Here is a 19,239-nt window from a genome sequence, read left to right on the forward strand (position 1 = left end):
AGTAGCTGGGATTACAGGCACCCGCCACCACACGGCTAAGTTTTGCATTTTTATTAGACACGGGGTTTCTCCATGTTAGCCAGGATGGTCTTGATCTCCTGACCTCCTGATCCACCCACCTCGGCCTCCCAAAGTGCTGGGATAACAGGCGTGAGCCACTGCGCCCGGCCAATTTCCATTCTGTAGTTGTGTGACTTGTTGAATCATGTGTGTCCCCCCACTGGACTACAAAGCTCCACGAGGCCAGGGAGATACTTAGCTCACTCTGCTTCTGGCATCAGGCATGGCACAAAGTAGGCTTGCAGTAAAAATATCTGTGGATTAAACGAATGAATCTGGAATAGCTGCTTCTAATTCCCGCTTCCCACCGTACTCGCTCTTCTCACTAAGGTTTTCTGGACACCTGAAAGCAGGTACTTCGAAGGAAAGATCCTGCCGCTAGAATATTTTTCAGTTAGACAGATATAGAACGATCCCACCTGCTCACCTGAGTGGAGATTTAAGAGTTTAAAATTTCAGCCGGGAGCGGTGGCTCACGCCTGTCATCCCAGCACTTTGGGAGGCTGAGGCGGGCGGATCACAAGGTCAGGAGACTGAGACCATCCTGGCTAACACGGTGAAACCCTGTCTCTACTAAAAAAAAAAAATACAAAAAATTAGCCAGGCGTGGTGGCGGGCACCTGTAGTCCCAGCTACTTGGGAGGCTGAGGCAGGAGAATGGCATGAACCCGAGAGGAGGAGCTTGCAGTGAGCTGAGATTGCACCACTGCACTCCAGCCTGGGCGACAGAGCGAGACTCTGTCTCAAAAAAAAAAAAAAAAAATTGCAGCCGGGCACGGTGGCTCACGCCTGTAATCCCAGCACTTTGGGAGGCCGAGGAAGATGGATCACCTGAGGTAAGGAATTTGAGACCAGCCTAGCCAACATGGTGAAACCCCGTCTCTACTAAAAATACAAAAATTAGCTGGATGTGGCCGCAGGCACCTGTAGTTCCAGCTACTCGGGAGACTGAGGCAGGAGAATTGCTTGAACCCAGGAGGCGGAGGTTGCAGTGAGCCAAGATCACACTACTGCACTCCAGCCTGGGCAACAGAGTGAGACTCCGTCTCAAAAAAAAAAAAGACTTTAAAATTTTTTATATAGAAGCTGAGTGCAGAGGCTCACACCTATAACTACAAGCACTTTGGGAGGCCAAGGCGGGAGGGTCAATTGAGCACAAGAGTTTGAGACCAGCCTGGGCAACATAGCAAGACCCCATCTCTACAAAAAGTAAAACATTAGCTGGGTGTGGTGGAGCAAACCGGTAGTCCCAGATAACTGGGAGGCTGAGAAGGGAGGATCACTTGAGCCTAGGAGTTTTTGAGGCTGCAGTGAGCTCTGATCACGCCACTGCATTCCAGCTTGAGCTACAGAGCGAGACGTTATCTCAAATAAATACATAAATAATTCTCATATACTAACAAAGAATAAGAAGAGAGGCAGCCTTTGAATCCCCCGGGTCTGATAGCGCCCAAGGGGCTCCAGGACAGCTTTGCTCAGGGTTACAAGCAGAGGGAAGTAAATGTTTTCCACCCAATCCAAGATATCTTCTTTGCGGCTAGTAAAAACTTGACTGCTCCCCAGGATCAAAATGTGGGTAAAATTTCCCCCAGATTTATCTCTTAAGTTCTATTCACGAACAGGTTTGTTGAAAAGTTTTGTTTGAATTAGCAGAACTCTCTCTCTCTGAAAATACACCCCAGAAGGAAGCAGTCCTCCCATTCTCCAGCAAGTACAGGCAAGGTCCCATCTGATCCACCAGTTCTGGCAGCCAGATACCCACAAATGTTTAGCTCTGCCATGGGATATGTAGAATAAATTAAGTTTAGGGGAAAAAATCATAAAACAAGCCTCTGAGTCTAAAGACTCTGTGTACCTTGGCAGGAGGAATGTGTGTGTTACAACAAACTCTATCCAGTGTGCCAGGGAACTCAATCAAAACCAGCAGAAAATGATTCCTGTCATGGGACAGGCAACTCCACAGCCGGCCCCTGGGGGAGATGAAGATAAGAGGGTCCAATCTAGGCCGGGTGCCGTGGCTCGCACCTGTAATCCCAGCACTTTGGGAGGCCTAGACGGGCAGATCACGAGGTCAGGAGATCAAGACCATCCTGGCCAACATGGTGAAACCCTGTCTCTACTAAAAATATAAAAATTAGCTGGGCGTGGTGGCACACGCCTATAATCCCAGCTACTCTGGAGGCTGAGGCAGGAGAATCGCTTGAACCCGGGAGGTGGAGGTTGCAGTGAGCCAAGGTCGCGCCACTGCACTCCAGCCTGGCAACAAAGTGAGACTCCGTCTCAAAAAAAAAAAAGAGGGTCTGATCTCTCCTTGCATTTGCCAAAAATATTTTGCATCATGGCCGAGGACAGAAAAAGCCTAAAACCCTGAGTAAGAGGAGACGGACATTCTAAAGTCAAAGCCTCTGCAAACACAAAACAAACTCCACAGGAAAACTTGCTCATGGAGGTCTTTCCCTCTGGGACTCTGGCTGGATGTCTTCCGCTAGGAGATGAGTCTTAAGTCACTGCAGGGCATGCTTTACAACGGGAGTCTGTGGATAAAGTAGGGCTCCACTGGTCTTGCTAAGTACTTGTCTTTTTTTTTTTTTTTTTTTTTGAGACTGAGTCTTGCTCTGTCGCCCAGGCTGGAGTGCAGTGGTGCAATCTCGGCTCACCGCAACCTCCGCCTCCCGGGTTCAAGTGAGTCTCCTGCCTCAGCCTCCCGAGTAGCTGGGATTACAGGCACCCACCACCATGCTCAGCTAATTTCCTATTTTTAGTAGAGACGGGGTTTCTCCATGTTGGTCAGGCTGGTCTTGAACTCCTGGCCACAGGTGATCCTCCTCCCAAAGTGCCGGGATTACAGGAGTGAGCCGCCGGCCACGCCCAGCCTACTGTTCACATTTCTACCAGTATCCTGTTCACACTGCCTAGGTTTTCTCCAAGACAGCTGAGGCTTTCTCTACAGCTCTCCTCTTTTCTTTCTGAGCCCTCCCCGGAACTGCCTTTCACATTCTGTTCAGGGCAACGTAGGCCTTTTCCATCATGAACCTCAAAACTCTTCCGACTTCTACACGTCACCCAGTTCCAGAGCTACTCCCACCACTTCAGGTATCAGTTACAGCAGCACCCCCACTTCTCGGTACCAATTTATTTCTGTCTGAATCCATTCAAGCTGCTACAATAGGACAGTGCAGACTGTGTGGCTTAGGAACACAAAAGTTTCTTTCTCTCAGTTGTGGTGGGTGGAAGTCGAAAGTCAGGGCACCAGTGGACTCAGTGTCTGGTGAGGGCATGATCCTCACAGATGGCGCCTTCTTGCTGTATCCTCACATGGTGGACGTGGTCTGTCTTGGACCTTTTCTTTTTTCTTTCTTTTTTTTTTATGAGACGGAGTCTCGCTCTGTCGCCCAGGCTGGAGGGCAATGGTGTGATCTCAGCTCACTGGAACCTCCGCCTCCTGGGCTCAAGGGATTCTCCTGCCTCAGCCTACCGAGTAGCTGGGACTACAGGCACGCACCACCACACCCAGATCATTTTTGTATTTTTAGTAGAGACGGGGTTTTGCCATGTTGGCCAGGCTGGTCTCGAACTCCTGCCCTCAGATGATCTGCCTGCCTTGGCTCCCAAAGTGCTGGGATTACAGGTGTGAGACACCACACCCAGCCTAAACACCAACTATTCTAAAGCTGAAGTTAAGGATTTGTTTAAGACATACCTAAAACTACCGTGAAACCTTCAGTTTTCAAGAATATTCTAAAAAGCTGAGCATAAAAGCTGTAGCTCTCTTTCTCAATGGTCACCACCATCCCAGATATCACCAGGGCCATCAAAATAGGGCAGGGGGCAAGCATCCTCTAAGTGGAATTCTTCACCGATACCTGGTAGAGACCTCCTCTAGGTGGCACGAGTATCCCTCACTAAATAACACTGAATAGAAGAGTGAGAAGGTTATTCCTTTTGTAGTTTTCTTTCGGTCCTTCCAATTACTTTAAGAGAAGAGTCTTGCTTTGATGTCAATAAATTACTAACGTTTCTCTAACACCTGCTCATCTTCCTTTTTAACCAAAGATATAAATCTTTTTTTTTTTTTTTTGAGATGGGGTCTCGCTCTGTCGCCCCAGGCTGGAGTGCAGTGGCGCAATCTTGGCTCACTGCAGCCTCGACCTCCCAGGCTCAAGTGATCCTCCCACCCCAGCCTCCCGAGTAATGGGGTCACAGGTATGCACCACCACACCTGGCTAACTTTTGTATTTTTGTGTAGAGACGACGTTTCACCATGTTGCGGCTAATTTTTGTATTTTTTCTATAGAGATGAGGTTTTGCCATGTTGGCCAGGCTGGTCTTGAACTCCTGAGTTCCAGGGATCCACCCGCCTTGGCCTCCCAAAGTGCTGGGATTACAGGCATGAGCCACCACGTCCAGCCTAAATCTAAATTTTTAAAATGAGTATATTTAAAGAAAAATGTAAGTAAATGGTAATATAGCTGGTATTGACATGAAAGAACCACAAAGGTGATACTGGACGGCTGAGCTATAGAAAACAGCCCTACAGGCTGGGCGCGGTGGCTCACGCCTGTAATCTCAGCACTTTGGGAGGCTGAGGCTGGTAGATCACGAGGTCAGGAGATCGAGACCATCCTGGCTAACACGGTGAAACCCCATCTCTACTAAAAATACAAAAAAATTAGCCTGGCATGGTGGCGGGCGCCTGTAGTCCCAGCTGCTGGGGAGGCTGAGACAGCAGCCTGTGTGTGAACCTGGGAGGCGGAGGTTGCAGTGAGACAAGATCGCGCCACTGCACTCCAGCCTGGGTGACAGAGCGAGACTCCGTCTCAAAAAAAAAAAAGAAAGAAAGAAAGAAAAAAAGAAAACAGCCCTACGGCTTACACACGAAGGGTCTGAGATGCTGGTTCTCAGGATCAGCTATGACCAGAGGAAACTTGTTAGAACAGATTGGAGTTCCTGCTCTTCCCTCACTCTGTTAATTTGCTCGATTGCCCTCAGGCTTCTCTTTCTATCCCATAGCCAGCCAAGAGCAGGCAGGGGCCAATTTTCTGGGTTTCTTGACCCTACTTTGAAGGCTCTCTGGCATGATACAAATGGATCCCATCCACCAAGGAGGAACTGACAACATGATTTACTATTGGAAGGATCTGGTTCGAAGGCCATGGCACCTCCACTGTCTGGGAGAGTATCTTTACCAAAAAAACTTGCCACTCAAGAAACGGAGCAAGCTATTCCAGGAAATACTTTCAGATGCAGTTTCCCGTCCAGCTCTAGTTTGAAAATGAGGCCTTCTCAGTCTGAGCCCACAACCATATTTCATGGGCCCCCTCCCTGAGATGTGTTTATCCACGCTGACCGATAGTTCAAAGCGGTCGTTTGGAAGTGGAATAAAGAGTCGCTCTCTAAATTCACCAAAGGAGTTAAGACCAGGAATACTGGAGCGATTCCGACTGAGGTCACGGGGAGTTTAGGGGAAATTTTTGGTTTGGGTTTTCTCCTAGTTTTAATTGCTTATAAAAGCTCCTTAATGTCAAGTAAAGAACAACAACAAATGTGAAAAGTTGACTTCCCCAAGACGTTTATTCAAAAGAAAAAAAAATGGTTCCCAGCAACCCTTATGCAGGAGGGAGGGGATTAGGACCAGATAATCTTGTATGAAAAGGAAAGGGAAACGCAAACTACTCAAATACAAAACAACAGCTGCACGGACGGGCCTGCCAGAGAAACAACTGATCTGCTCTGTCACGACCTGTTTCACGGATCCCAGATCTGCTCTGGGGACACCACAGTCAGCTCCACTCCCATCAAACGCGATTCAATGGACCATCCAAACCAAACTCAGGCTGCTTCCTTCTCTCTGAAAGGCCTGGCCCTCAGGCCGTTCCAGACACCCCTTCCCTGTCCTCCACGGGGTACTCTGACTTTTCATAGGTGACTAAACAACAGGCAAAACCGAGCAAATTAACAGAGGGAAGAGCAGGAACTCCAATCTGTTCTAATGTGTCTCCTCTGGTCATAGCCGATCCTGAGAACCAGCATCTCAGACCCTTCCTTTGTAAGCATCAAGCAAAGGGCCCAGGGCAGAGAGGTGTGGGTTACTTCTGCAGTAAGGAAGTTGGAAAGGGTGAGTCAGAAGCTAAGGAAAACGCTCACTCCCGGCAGTGAAAGTGAGCCTTCTCTTTGTATATTATGTTATATACTTTTAACTTTAAAAAATTTATTATTATTATTATTATTATTTAAGACATAGTCTTGCTCTGTTGCCTAGGTTGGAGGGCAGTGACCTGATCTCAGCTCACTGCAACCTCCGCCTCCTGGGTTCAAGTGATTCTCCTGCCTCAGCCTCCTGAGTAGCTGGGATGACAGGCGTGTGCCGCCGCGCCCGGCTAATTTTTGTATTTTCCATAGAGACAGGGTTTCGCCATCCTGGCCAGGCTGGTCTTGAACTCCTGACCTCAGGTGATCCACCCACCTTGGCCTCCCAAAGTGCTGGGATGACAGGCGTGAGCCACCGCGCCCGGCTAATTTTTGTATTTTCCATAGAGACAGGGTTTCGCCATCCTGGCCAGGCTGGTCTTGAACTCCTGACCTCAGGTGATCCACCCACCTTGGCCTCCCAAAGTGCTGGGATGACAGGCGTGAGCCACCGCGCCCGGCTAATTTTTGTATTTTCCATAGAGACAGGGTTTCGCCATCCTGGCCAGGCTGGTCTTGAACTCCTGACCTCAGGTGATCCACCCACCTTGGCCTCCCAAAGTGCTGGGATGACAGGCGTGAGCCGCCGCGCCCGGCCTGCATAGTTTTGACTTTTGAACCTCGTAAACATTTTACTTTTACTAAAAGAATAAAATCAAGTCAAAAGTAGGAGCAAACAGCAAATCCTAAAGTTTAATATGAGCAGAAACATGTGACCCTAACTCTAATAGTAACTATTACCTATCTAGACAAAAAGGCAAATAATTTAAGTGACTTTTGGATCTAGCTCTCTGACTATTCCTCCTTTCTTGGATGTGATCTAAGGACAAAAAGAACTGAAAAGAAAGTTTGAACTTGACTTGTTAGGATCACTGCTGGCCATGATTACGGATGTTGCAAATCTGTAAACAAGGTTATCACAGTGGGATGAGAGGAACACAGATACGGACTGGGGAAGTAAGGAAGGGCCCTGGGCAGCTGGTTCTGAGTGCAACATATCAGTATCAACTCAAGATTTTAAAACACATTTAAATTTCTCAGCTCTTTCTTTTTTTTGAGACACAGTTTCACTCTGTCGCCTGCGCTGGAATGCAGTGGCACCATCTCGGCTCACTGCAACCTCCGCCTCCTGGGTTCAAGTGATTTGTGTGGCTCGGCCTCCTGAGTAGCTGGGGTTACAAACAAGTGCCACTATGCTCGGCTAATTTTTCTGTTTTTAGTAGAGACGGGGTTTCACCATGTTGGCCAGGCTGGTCTTGAACTCCTGAACTCAGGTGATCCGCCCACCTCGGCCTCCCACAGTGCTGGGATTACAGGCGTGAGCCGCCGCGCCTGACCATTCTTTGCTCTTTCTATTGAAAGTGGCTAGAGGCAGTGAGAGGCCCAGCAAGGAACACACTTCATGACCAGATGTTGGTTTCTAAGGACCATCCCTCCACCAAAGGGAAGGAGGATTTCTCAGAGGAAGAGCTGATTCCAAGACTAGGGGAGGGAGAGGCCAAGCTGAGCCTGAACGTCTCACTGAGTGCCAGAAAAGCAAGCAAATGCTTACACGATGCTGGGAACATGTTAAAAGACTCAAGAGCCATCTTGAAAAGACTCCTACTTACCAAATTTGGGATACGGTAAAAAATAGTGAATTTAATAAGCTACAGCAATAGATTTTTTTTTTTTTAATCCATGAGTCTGAAATGATACTAAAAAATGGAGTGGAAGAACATGAGGGGCTCTTTTTTTGTTTTTTCTTTTAAATTGAGACAGTCTTGCTCTGTCGCCCAGGCTGGAGTGCAGTGGCATGATCTCAGCTCACTGCAACCTCTGTCTCCTGGGCTCAAGCAATCCTCTCACCTCAGCCTCCCAAGTAGCTGGGATTACAGGCATGAACCACCATACTTGGCTAATGTTTTGTATTTTTGATGGAGACGGGGTTTCACCACGTTTCCCAGGCTGGTCTCGAACTCCTGAGCTCAAGCGATCTACCAGCCTCAGTCTCCCAAAGTGCTGGGATTACAGGCGTGAGCCACCGTGTTCAGCCAATGAGGGGCTCTTCATAAAGGAATGTGAGGTAATAAATGTAGAAGGAGTGACAATTTAAAGCCCAGGATTCTGCAATAATCAATGTAGAAACAGATTCAGGAGGCCAGGCACGGTGGCTCACACCTGTAATCCCAGAGCTTTGGGAGGCCAGGGTGGGAGGCTCCCTTGAGACCAGGAATTCGGGATCAGCTTCGGCAACATAGTAAGACCCCATCTCAAAAACATAAACATAAAAATAAAACTTAGGTGGGTGTGGTGGCCCATGCCTGTAGTCCCAGCTACTCAGGAGGCTGAGGAGGGAGGATCGCTTGAATCCAGGAGTTAGAGGCTACAGCGAGCTATGATTCTGCCACTGCAACCCAGCCTGGGTGATGGGGCAAGACCCTGTCTCTTAAAACAAATAAAACAGATTCATGAAAGAATCATCACATATCAGTGGATGTGAAGCCACTGGGTAACAAGTTACTGGGAGGAGAACATTCCTACGGTCCTAAAGTATCACACCACTTACTGCTCGTTAGTTACAAAGGAGAAACTACCTTTACAAAGTAGAGTGATCTGGCAGACATTAGCTCAACCAAATGTTTAACCTCAGCATCATCAATAACAGGACGGAACTATGATGTGGCTCCTGGTGAGATGCAACAGGAGCTCTGCGGCATTCCTGCCAGAAATGTTTGGCCTGGATGTAATCACGAGGGAACCATTTGACAAATTCAGACTCTGGAAAATTCTGCAAGACAACAGACCTATGCTCTAAACGTATCAATGCTACATTTCTTGGGTATGATAACGGTATTATTGCTAGGAAGAGAACACCCTTGTTTTTAGGAGATAATGAAGGTTTAGGAATGAAATATCATGATAAATATAATCTATTTTCAAATGCCCCACAGTATACTCAGGGGATTGGTTCTGGGACCCCCACATATTCCAAAATCCGCATATACTGAAGTCCCACAATCAGCCCAGCAGAGCCTGAGTGTAGGAAAAACCAGCCTCTGCATACATGGGTTTCACATCCTGCGAATACTGTTCTGTCTTCTTTGTTTTTTTGAGACAGAGTCTCACTCTGTCACCTGGGCTGGAGTGCAGTGGCGCGATCTCAGCTCACTGCAACCTCCACCTGGGTTCAAGTGATTCTCCTACCTCAGCCTCCTGAGTAGCTGGAACTACAGGTGCCCGCCACCACGCCCAGCTAATTTTTTGTATTTTTAGTAGAGACGGGGTTTCACCGTGTGAGCCAGGATGGTCTCGATCTCCTGACCTCATGATCAGCCCGCCTCAGCCTCCCGAAGTGCTGGGATTACAGGTGTGAGCCACCACGCTCAGCCGTGTTTTGTTTTGAGACAGGGTCTCGCTCTGTCCCCCAGGCTGGAGAGCAGTGGTACAATCACATCTCACTGCCGCCTCAACCTCCCTGGCTCAAGCGATCCTCCTGACTCAGCCTCCTGAGTAGCTGGGACCACAGGAGCATGCCTCCATGCCCAGATAATTTTTAATATTATTTGTAGAGATGGGGGTCTCTCTATGTTGCCCACGCTGGTCTTGAACTCCTGGGCTGATGCAATCCTCCTGCCTCAACCTCCCATAGTGGTGGGATTACAGGTGTGAGCCTCTGCACCTGGCTGACACTGTATTTTTGATTCACATCTGGTTGAAAAAAGTCCACATACAAATGGACCCTTGCAATTCAAATCCACGTCATTCAAGGATCAACTGTCCTTCAGGGAAAAAACATACCCACTGCTTACACAGAGCTCTGTAGAGGTTTATGTCAGGCTCATACAGTGTGTTCCCCAGATCAGCAGCAGCAATGCCTGGGAACTGAGTGAGGAAACACGTTAACCATTGCTCAGTTTCGGTGAAAGGACACAGTTACCGTTGCTGGGTTCCGGTGAAGGGACACGTCTGCCATTGCTCGGTTCCGGTGAAGGGGCACAGTTACCGTTGCTCGGTTCCGGTGAAGGGGCACGTTTACCGTTGCTCACTTCCGGTGAAGGGGCACGTTCACCGTTGCTCGGTTCCGGTGAAGGGACGCGTCTGCCGTTGCTCGGTTCCGGTGAAGGGCACAGGATGGGCATTCATGGTACTTGTCTTCAACTTTTCTGTAGGTCTGAAATTTCCCAAGATAAAAAGTTCGGAGTAGGGAGAGTAAGTCTTAATCCATTTCCTTCTCAGGGAATCAAAACCACGGTTCTTCAGAGTGTTGATTCTTAAATTTGCCAAAACGTAGGGGAGTGCTAGCTTAGATCCATCTGTGTTCCCTAGTTCCATGTCCCATGGGACAAGACACCAGCCTCAACGGTATTAGGTCAGGAGGGCGGATTGCATGGAAAGAAACAGAATCGAGGAACAAAGTGGGCTCTGCCCGTTCAAACGGCTGCCCTGGGAGTACAGGCTGTTTCTCCCTGATAAACATCGGTGAGACCAACATGAGTGTGAGGCTTTGCAGGAACTTGCCCTGCATTTCCTCCCTCTCCAGATAATTCTCTGGTCTAACATTTCAGAAGGCTTTTTACCAGACTCACCCTGAGATCCTTTCCAACCTGATTATAAGAGAAACCATCATGACCCCACTGCTCACTCTGAGGCTCCTCTAATTAACGGACCTCTAAGGAATGTGTTTGGCATTAAAGGGGCAGAGGTGGGTAAAGTTAAGGAAGCTGCTGCAAATCTCCTGAAAACGGAGGCAACCCAGGCGGTGTTCTGTCAGTCTGCTGCCCAAGGAAGGGCCAGATGCCCTGAACCCTTCTCTCTCATTCAACACGGATGAAAAGATAAAGAATCCAGAAACTAAAGGGCAGATTCTAGAATTTACCTCCTGCTTAAGCTGTCCTGGCAGTCAGGCTCCTGGATCTCGGAACTAGAACCACGCCTGGTTTATGTAAAATCAGGAGATGGGACTAAACAGATCATCTCGTCCACACTGATTGAACAGAGGAGAAAAGCACAACTCCCAGAAGTCATCTTTCTCGCTCGATATTGTCCATCTCCCCTCCCTGTGCTCCTTCAGTGGAAGCGCATTGGGTGATATCCTCTGTATTAGGTAGCAATGTTTTCTGGGCAAGGGAAACTATTGGTATTACAGGCTGGCTGACAAAAGCTGGAGTTACACTTTTTTTTTTGAGACAGAGTCTCCCTCTGTCACCCAGGCTGGAGTGCAATGGCACGATCTTGGCTCACCGCAACCTCTGCCTCCTGGATTCAAGTGATTCTCCTGCCTCAGCCTCCTGCATAGCTGGGATTACAGGCATGCACCACCACGCCCGGCTGATTTTGTATTTTTAGGAGAGACGGAGTTTCTCCATGTTGGTCAGGCTGGTCTCGAACTCATGACCTCAGGTGATCCGCCCACCTCGGCCTCCCACAGTGCTGGTATTACAGGCATGAGCCACCACGCCCGGCCGAGTTACACATTTTCTATAAAGCAATGACAGTCTCTCCCCTCCAAGAAGGACCTTGGCAATGTCTACAGAAGTCAATAATGTCCATTATTCTTTGGCTTAGCAATTCCAATTCACAGATATGCATGTGTGAAGTGTGCAGAGATAGATGTGCAACAATGTTGCTGGGCGCAGTGGCTCACGCCTGTAATCCCAGCACTTTGGGAGGCCGAGGTGGGCAGATCACTTGAGGTCAGGAGTTCGAGACCAGCCTGACCAACATGGAGAAACCCCATCTCTACTAAAAATACAAAATTAGCCGAGCGTGGTAGCACATGCCTGTAATCCCAGCTACTCAGGAGGCTGAGGCAGGAGAATCGCTTGAACCCGGGAGGTGGAGGTTGCAGTGAGCTAAGATCGCGGCATTGCACTCCAGCCTGGGCGACAGAGCAAGACTCTATCTCAAAAAAAAAGAAAAAAAAGTGTGTGCGACAATGTTTATCATAGTATTATTTGCTACAGCAAAAGGAGAAGGAAGGAGTGAAATATCCATTTATCAGGCAGTGGGCAAGTAAATTACGCTCTATATATTCAATAGAATACAATGCTGTTATTGCAACAATTAAAGCAGGTCGGCTATGCCGATAGGAAGAGACTGGCAAGATATTAGATTTTTTTTTTTAAATCAGACGTTTCTTTTGTAAATAGAACAGACAATACCCGTCACATACATGTATAAATGCACAGAAGATATTTCAGAAGGATGTATATAAGAAACTTAAGGCTGGGCGCAGTGGCTCACACCTGTAATACCAGCACTTTGAGAGGCCGAGGCAGGAGGATCACCTGCACTGAAGAGTTCAAGATCAGCCTGGGCAACATGGTGAAACGCTGTCTCTACAAAAAATACAAAAGTTGGTGGCGGGCGCCTGTAGTCTCAGGTACTCGGGAGGCTGAGGCAGGAGAACCCTTGTACCCAGGAGGCGGAGCATGCAGTGAGCTGAGATCGCGTCATTGCCCTCCAGCCTGGGCGACAGAGACCCCATCTCAATAAATAGATAAATGAACCTTAAGAGAGAGGATAGGTGAGGAGTTGTACCTCAGTAACACCCTTCAGTACCATGTACCTGTTTTAAGTACGTGCATGGAGTTCTGCTTTTATAAAGAAAGAAAAAGTCCTGGCAGCCTCTAACGTTGTTCAATTTCAGCCCAGACCCTATCAAGCAAGGACTTTTTAACTGAATCAGCAATTAAACTGCTAGATGTGGACTAATCTGGTTTGTGATCTGAAAATACATATTCTTAGTGAAACAAATGATTTGAGCATGGGTCAGGGCAAGGCCAACATTCAAATACTGCAAACCCTCAGCTGGTGCCAGCCTCAGGCTGCGGGTCAGAACATGTGAGTGGAAACAGTTCCCAGGAAAGAAAACTGATGCCAGCTTGGTCAGCAAGTTCTCGGGGTTCTCCGGGGAATTCTCCAGCTTGGTCAGCAAGTTCTCGGGGTTCTCCGGGGAATCCTCCAGCTTGGTCAGCAAGTTCTCGGGGTTCTCCGGGGAATCCTCCAGCTTGGTCAGCAAGTTCTCGGGGTTCTCCGGGGAATCCTCCAGCTTGGTCAGCAAGTTCTCGGGGTTCTCCGGGGAATCCTCCAGCATGGTCAGCAAGTTCTCGGGGTTCTCCGGGGAATCCTCCAGCTTGGTCAGCAAGTTCTCGGGGTTCTCCGGGGAATCCTCCAGCTTGGTCAGCAAGTTCTCGGGGTTCTCCGGGGAATCCTCCAGCATGGTCAGCAAGTTCTCGGGGTTCTCCGGGGAATCCTCCAGCTTGGTCAGCAAGTTCTCGGGGTTCTCCGGGGAATTCTCCAGCATGGTCAGCAAGTTCTCGGGGTTCTCCAGGGAATTCTTGCCAGTCCCTTAAGATTATGCTCAGAGTAGGGCTTGCCCAGCTACCAACATATGCTTTCCTGTTGTTGAAGGAGAAGTTCAGCAAAACTATGTAGCTAAATGACACGAAAAGTTTTTTCTCAAAGCCTGGGAGAACAGTAGTTTGGCCTCTGAAGAATCCCAAACTTGTGGTTAATAAGAGAAAAATAGACAGTTTAACACGTGGAAGATTGAAAAGTCTAAACAGGCCAGCGTGGTGGCTCTTCCCTGTAATCCCAGCACTTTGGGAGGCCAAGGCAGGTGGAACACCTGAGGTCAGGAGTTCGAGACCAGCCTGGCCAACATGGCAAGACCCCATCTCTACTAAAAATACAAAAATTAGCCAGGTGTGGTGGCGGGAGGCTGTAATCGCAGCTACTCGGGAGGCTGAGGCATGAGAATCGCTTGAACCCAGGAGGTGGAGGCTGCAGTAAGCCGACAGAATGAGACTCCAACTCAAAAAAAAAAAAAAGTCTTAAATGTACCTTGCAAAGAGTGTGCAGAAGCTGTTCAGATGTAAGTGGGGGTCCTGTGTGGTTGTTCTGCCTTGTTACTAATGACCTTCAGAGTGACAGGAGCATGACCTATTCCGGGGACACAGCAGGGACATGTGTTGTGCTCCAGCAGAGCCTGTACGGCGTCCCATGGGTCATCTCCTAGCTGGACACTGGCAAGAGTTCCAGAGTCATCTCCCTCCCTTCATTCTTCAGGCTGCTTCCCTGGGAACCATTCCCCAGAACTCACCTCTCCTCTGTCCTTCACACATGGGATTCCCTCTATCCGATCCACCCTTCCCCGGAATTCCCCTCTCCTCCAGCCTTCACACGTGGGATTCCCTCTATCCCAGCCACCCTTCCCAGCAATGTTTACCTGACTCCAGCTCCTTGATGAGAATCACTGGGAAACTCCCTGACCGTATCTCCCTCGAACTCTCATCCAGCCAGCAGGGTGAGGGAGCTCCTCCTCGGCTCTCACCCGCAGACTTAACGCCTTCGCGCTCCCCAAGCACAGAAACTACCTTGTCTTTTTTTGTTTTTTTTTTGGTTTTTTGTTTGTTTGTTTGTTTGTTTTTGAGACGGAGTCTCGCTCTGTCGCCCAGGCTGGAGTGCAGTGATGCGATCTCTGCTTACTGCAACCTCCGCCTCCCGGGTTCACGCCATTCTCCTCCCTCAGCCTCCCGAGTAGCTGGGACAACAGGCGCCCACCACCACGCCCGGATCATTTTTTTGTATTTTTAGTAGAGACGGGGTTTCACCACGTTAGCCAGGATGGTCTCGATTTCCTGACCTCGTGATCCGCCCGCCTCGGCCTCCCAAAGTGCTGGGATGACAGGCGTGAGCCACCGCACCCGGTCGAAACTACCTTCTCTACATCGTGATCACCCCAGTGCCAGCACCGACCCTGGGCCGGGCCCACCATCCCGCCTGTGTTTGTAGGATAAGTAAATGAGCAGAGAAAGGAAAATGTCCAGATGCACAAAAAGGAAACCTCGGAAATCCCTGCAGCCAGAGAAAGACACAGAAAACACGGAGGCTGAGTGTTGGAGCTTCCCAGGGCCCCGGGTGGAAGGTCTCCCAGGCTTTCTATCACTGCAGACGCCAGGTGGTGGCTGGGGCAGATTCTACCCAAGCCTCCTGCCTTATATTAAGTCCCACCCTCCACACAGATGAACCTCTAGACTTGGGTGAACCCCACTGACCAGACAGTTCCTTCTCTCTCATCTCACATCCTGCCTCCTGTTTGTTAACTTCCCAGCACAGATCTGTTTCTCTGTAAAGGGCAGGCAGCCCTTACACACCCTGGGTTACATCAAAGGCCAGAACGAAAGGCCAGCACGGCTTAAGAGGGCCGTCCAGAACTGGCTGCTGACACCAACCCAAGAGTGATCCAGCTTCTGACTCACCAGGCACCAGCTCATGCTCTCTGATCCAGGAGCCCCGACAAGCGACCTGAGGTTCCAGGGGGGCTGCCTGACACATCTCTGCTCCGACCAACAGGGTTAGGAACCTACACAGATTACGAGGTGGAAGAAGGAAGGTCTCTAAAGCTCCTGAGCTGCAAACAGGACCATATTGGCAAAAGCTCCTGTGTCCCTGTTCACATCCACATACTTTAAGTATTATTTCTGCAGCATTTAAATACTTTAGAAAGATACTGTAAGAATCGCTGACATATGTAGGTTTCAATGAAATCACTCAGGGAGCCCTCCCCACTCGGGAAAGACTCCTTATTACAGAGCCCAGTTCTGTAAGTTCCCTGGAGAAATGAGTGAGGAGGGAAGGCGGACGTGGTCAGTCATAAAATCTTGACGCTCTTTTTCACTTCCTCTGCTCGTTCGTGTTCCACGGACAGTTAACAGCTACGTCCTGCCAATTCTCCTCCAAGCCTCTCTGGGAACCAGTTCTTTGCCTCTGATCTCGGTTAAGAACCGCTGACCTGCTGCCCAGAGTAAAAGGTGGCGTGCGAGAGCTCTCGTACTTAGGAAGGAAAGGATGGTGCCAGGCGCTTGGTGCTTGCCTTAAGCCGGCAGTTTTCAACCGGGGGGTGGTTGTGCTTCCCACGGGCCATTTAGCAATGCCTGGGAACGTTCCTGGCTGTCACATTGCGGGGTGGAGTGTTACTGACACAGTAGGTAGAAGCCAGGATGCTGTCCACGTTCTACCAGGCGCAGGACAGCTCCTCCCACAGCAAAGAAGTACCTGGCTCAGAACGTCAGCAGGGCCAAGAAACCCCACACCAAGCCTCTCCTGGGATTATTCCAGTCTCCATTTGGCCCCCAGTCACTTTCTGATTCCAGTTCTCCAGCCCAGGAATGCAGGACGTGGATTAGAGAAGCAAAGGGAAAGTTCATCCAGAAAGATTCCGGTTCTGTGAGTGTTACTAACGGGGCAAGCACCTTGAAGGTACCGTGGGACGTGGGTGATTCATGAGCCTGAATTGTCTCACTGTTATCACGTGATCAGAGTGAGGCGGCCTAAGGGAGCATCACAGGATGGGAAGGGCCAGGTTGAATGAAAAATCCTGGCTGAGTTCAGTGGCTCAGGCCTGTAATCCTAGCACCTTGGGAGGCCAAGGAGGGAGGATTGTTTGAGTCCAGGAGTTCGAGACCAGCCTGGACAATATACTGACACCCTGTCTCTACAAAAAAAAAAGTAATAATACAAATAATTAGCCAGGTGTGGTGTCCCGTGCCTGTAGTCCCAGCCACTTGAGAGGCTGAGGTGGGAGGACTGGTTAAGCCTGGAAGGCGGAGGTGCCAGTGAGCCCCGATTGTGCTACTGTATTCAAGCCTGGGCAACAGAGTGAGACTCTGTCTGGAAAAAAAAAAAAAAAGAATCTTATCCACCCCACCCAGTCTTTCTTTCTGAGCAAATGGTTTGGAATCTCTCACACTTCTGGTGCTACATGCTTTTATTTATTTATTTATTTATTTATTTTTGAGACAGAGTCTCACTCTGTCGCCCAGGCTGGAGTGCAGTGGTGCGATCTCAGTTCACTACAAGCTCCGCCTCCCGGGTTCACACCATTCTCCTGCCTCAGCCTCCCGAGTAGCTCGGACTACAGGCGCCCGCCATCACGCCCAGCTAAATTTTTTTTGTATTTTTAGTAGAGACGGGGTTTCACTGTGTTGGCCAGGATGGTCTCGATCTCCTGACCTCGTGATCCGCCCACCTCGGCCTCCCAAAGTGCTGGGATTACAGGCGTGAGCCACCGTGCCCGGCTATGCTTTTATTTTAAGCACGGTGATCTTCGCAGCTCTCATTCTGGAGCCACATTGGCAGCCACCATGAACTAAGGGAGTGTACATACAACCTCCCAGGCACCCCGAAGCTCCAGGGTTAGAACCTGGTCACTGTGGTGACCTCAATGATGAGGCCAACAAGTAATTGATTCCTAATATCACTTAGTGAAGTTAGTAAATGGTCTGTTTTCCAGTGATAAATCGCAGCATACGCATTCACTTTTTTTTTTTTTTTTTTTTTTTGAGATGGATTCTCATCGTGTCCCCCAGGCTGGAGTGCAGCAGCACGATCTCAGCTCACAGCAACCTCCACCTCCCGGGTTCAAATGATTCTCCTGCCTCAGCCTCCCGAGTAGCTGGGATTACAGGTACGTGCCACCATGCCCAGCTAATTTTTGTAGTTTTAGTAGAGACGGGGTTTCACCATGTTGGCCAGGCTGGTCTCGAACTCCTGACCTCAGGTGATCCACCTGCCTCAGCCTCCCAAAGTGCTGGGTACAGGCATGAGCCACCGCGCCCAGCTGCATTTGCTTTTGATAAGTTTCCCTGAATGGAAAATGTTGATGTTACACTAGCTAATTGGGAATGGCATGTGTTATCCAGCCCTGATCCAGCTCTGCTGTGTTACTGATGAACACCTAACAGTTACCCGCAAGCTTGCAAAATGCTTTTATGAACCACATATCACCAAGCATCTGCAGTGCTATTTGCTTTATTTCCTGGGAAACTCGGGGGTGAGGGATTGGGGGAGGAATTATCAAAATTTGGACAAACCCAGAGAAGTATGTTATGTGTGGAATTTCAGACACCATGTGTGCTGTGGCAAAAATAAAAATAAAAAATGAAAAAGTTGAGGACTGTGATTCTAAAACAGGATGAGGAAGAAGGGCCTGAAGCCATAAATGGAAGAACCAGGGATGATGGAGAGTTCCTGCACTGAGTCCTGGCCTTTCTGCCAAGCTGCCGAATGCTCAGAGGCCACGATGCTGAACCCGTGAATCAAAGACAAGAGGAGAGGGAGGGAGGGAGAGAGGGGGAGAGAGGGAGAGAGAGAGAGACGGAGGGAGGGAGGGAGGAACACATCAAAGACAAGGAGAGAGACAGAGGAACACGTCAATCAAAGACTAGGAGAGAGAGAGAGAGAGAAACATCAAAGACAAGGAGAGAGACAGAGGAACATGTCAATCAAAGACAAGGAGGGAGAGAGAGAGAGAAACACATCAACGACAAGGAGACAGAGGAACACGTCAATCAAAGACAAGGAGAGAAAGAGAGAAACACATCAATCAAAGGCAAGGAGAGAGAGTGTGTTTGAGGAAACACCAGCCTATGGTGTTTAATCTTCAGTGCCAACATGAGTGAGCTAGAGGGTACCCTGATATTTGATTAAACATGATCCTGAGTGTGTCTGTGACTATGTTTCCGGGTGAGATCTTTTTTTTTTTTTTTTTTTTTTTTGAGACGGAGTTTCCCTCTTGTTGCCCAGACTGGAGTGTGATGGTGCAATCTCAGCTCACTGCAACCTCTGCCTCCTGGCCTCAAGCGAGTCTCCTGCCTCAACCTCCCAAGTAGCTGGGATTACAGGCGCCTGCCACCACGTCCAGCTAATTTTTGTATTTTTAGTAGAGACGGGTTTTTGCCATGTTGGCCAGGCTGGTCTTGAACTCCTGACCTCAGGTGATCCACCCGCCTTGGCCTCCCAGTGTTGGGATGACAGGTGTGAGCCACCACACCCAGCTGAGATCAACATTTGAATCAGCAGACTCGGAATATAAAGCAGACTGCTCTCCCCAGTGTGGGTGGGCCTCATCCAACCCACTGAAGTCTAAGGAGAAAAAACTAAATAGAAAAAACTGCTGACAGGGAGAATTCTCTCTGACTGTCTTCCAGCTGGGACACCCGTCTTCCT

General features: G+C 49.1%; 1 protein-coding gene across 6 annotated transcripts in view, besides 1 other annotated feature; it reads right to left on the reverse strand.

Moving 5' to 3' along the window:
- The window catches only part of NXN (nucleoredoxin), a 180,467-nt gene that overhangs the window by 54,540 nt on the left and 106,688 nt on the right, over nucleotides 1-19,239 (reverse strand). For 2 of the 6 annotated variants that reach the window (XM_047436532.1, NM_001205319.1), the window contains exon 1: nucleotides 10,166-10,262. The exons of the other annotated variants lie outside the window; for them this stretch is intronic. In XM_047436532.1, coding sequence (XP_047292488.1) covers nucleotides 10,166-10,201 — 36 coding nt within the window. In that variant the 5' untranslated portion in view covers nucleotides 10,202-10,262. Of the gene's footprint in view, nucleotides 1-10,165; nucleotides 10,263-19,239 lie in introns of those variants that run through there. 6 annotated transcript variants of the gene reach the window in all.
- Nucleotides 16,820-17,647: an enhancer, noted in NCBI's record as "H3K4me1 hESC enhancer chr17:773909-774736 (GRCh37/hg19 assembly coordinates)". NCBI's record gives its function as "activates a minimal SCP1, AML or CMV promoter by ChIP-STARR-seq in naive H9 embryonic stem cells {active_cell/tissue: H9 hESC(naive)}" and the evidence as "EXISTENCE:reporter gene assay evidence [ECO:0000049][PMID:30033119]".

This window comes from Homo sapiens, chromosome 17 (assembly GCF_000001405.40).
Source record: "Homo sapiens chromosome 17, GRCh38.p14 Primary Assembly".
Classification (NCBI taxonomy): Eukaryota; Metazoa; Chordata; class Mammalia; order Primates; family Hominidae; genus Homo; species Homo sapiens.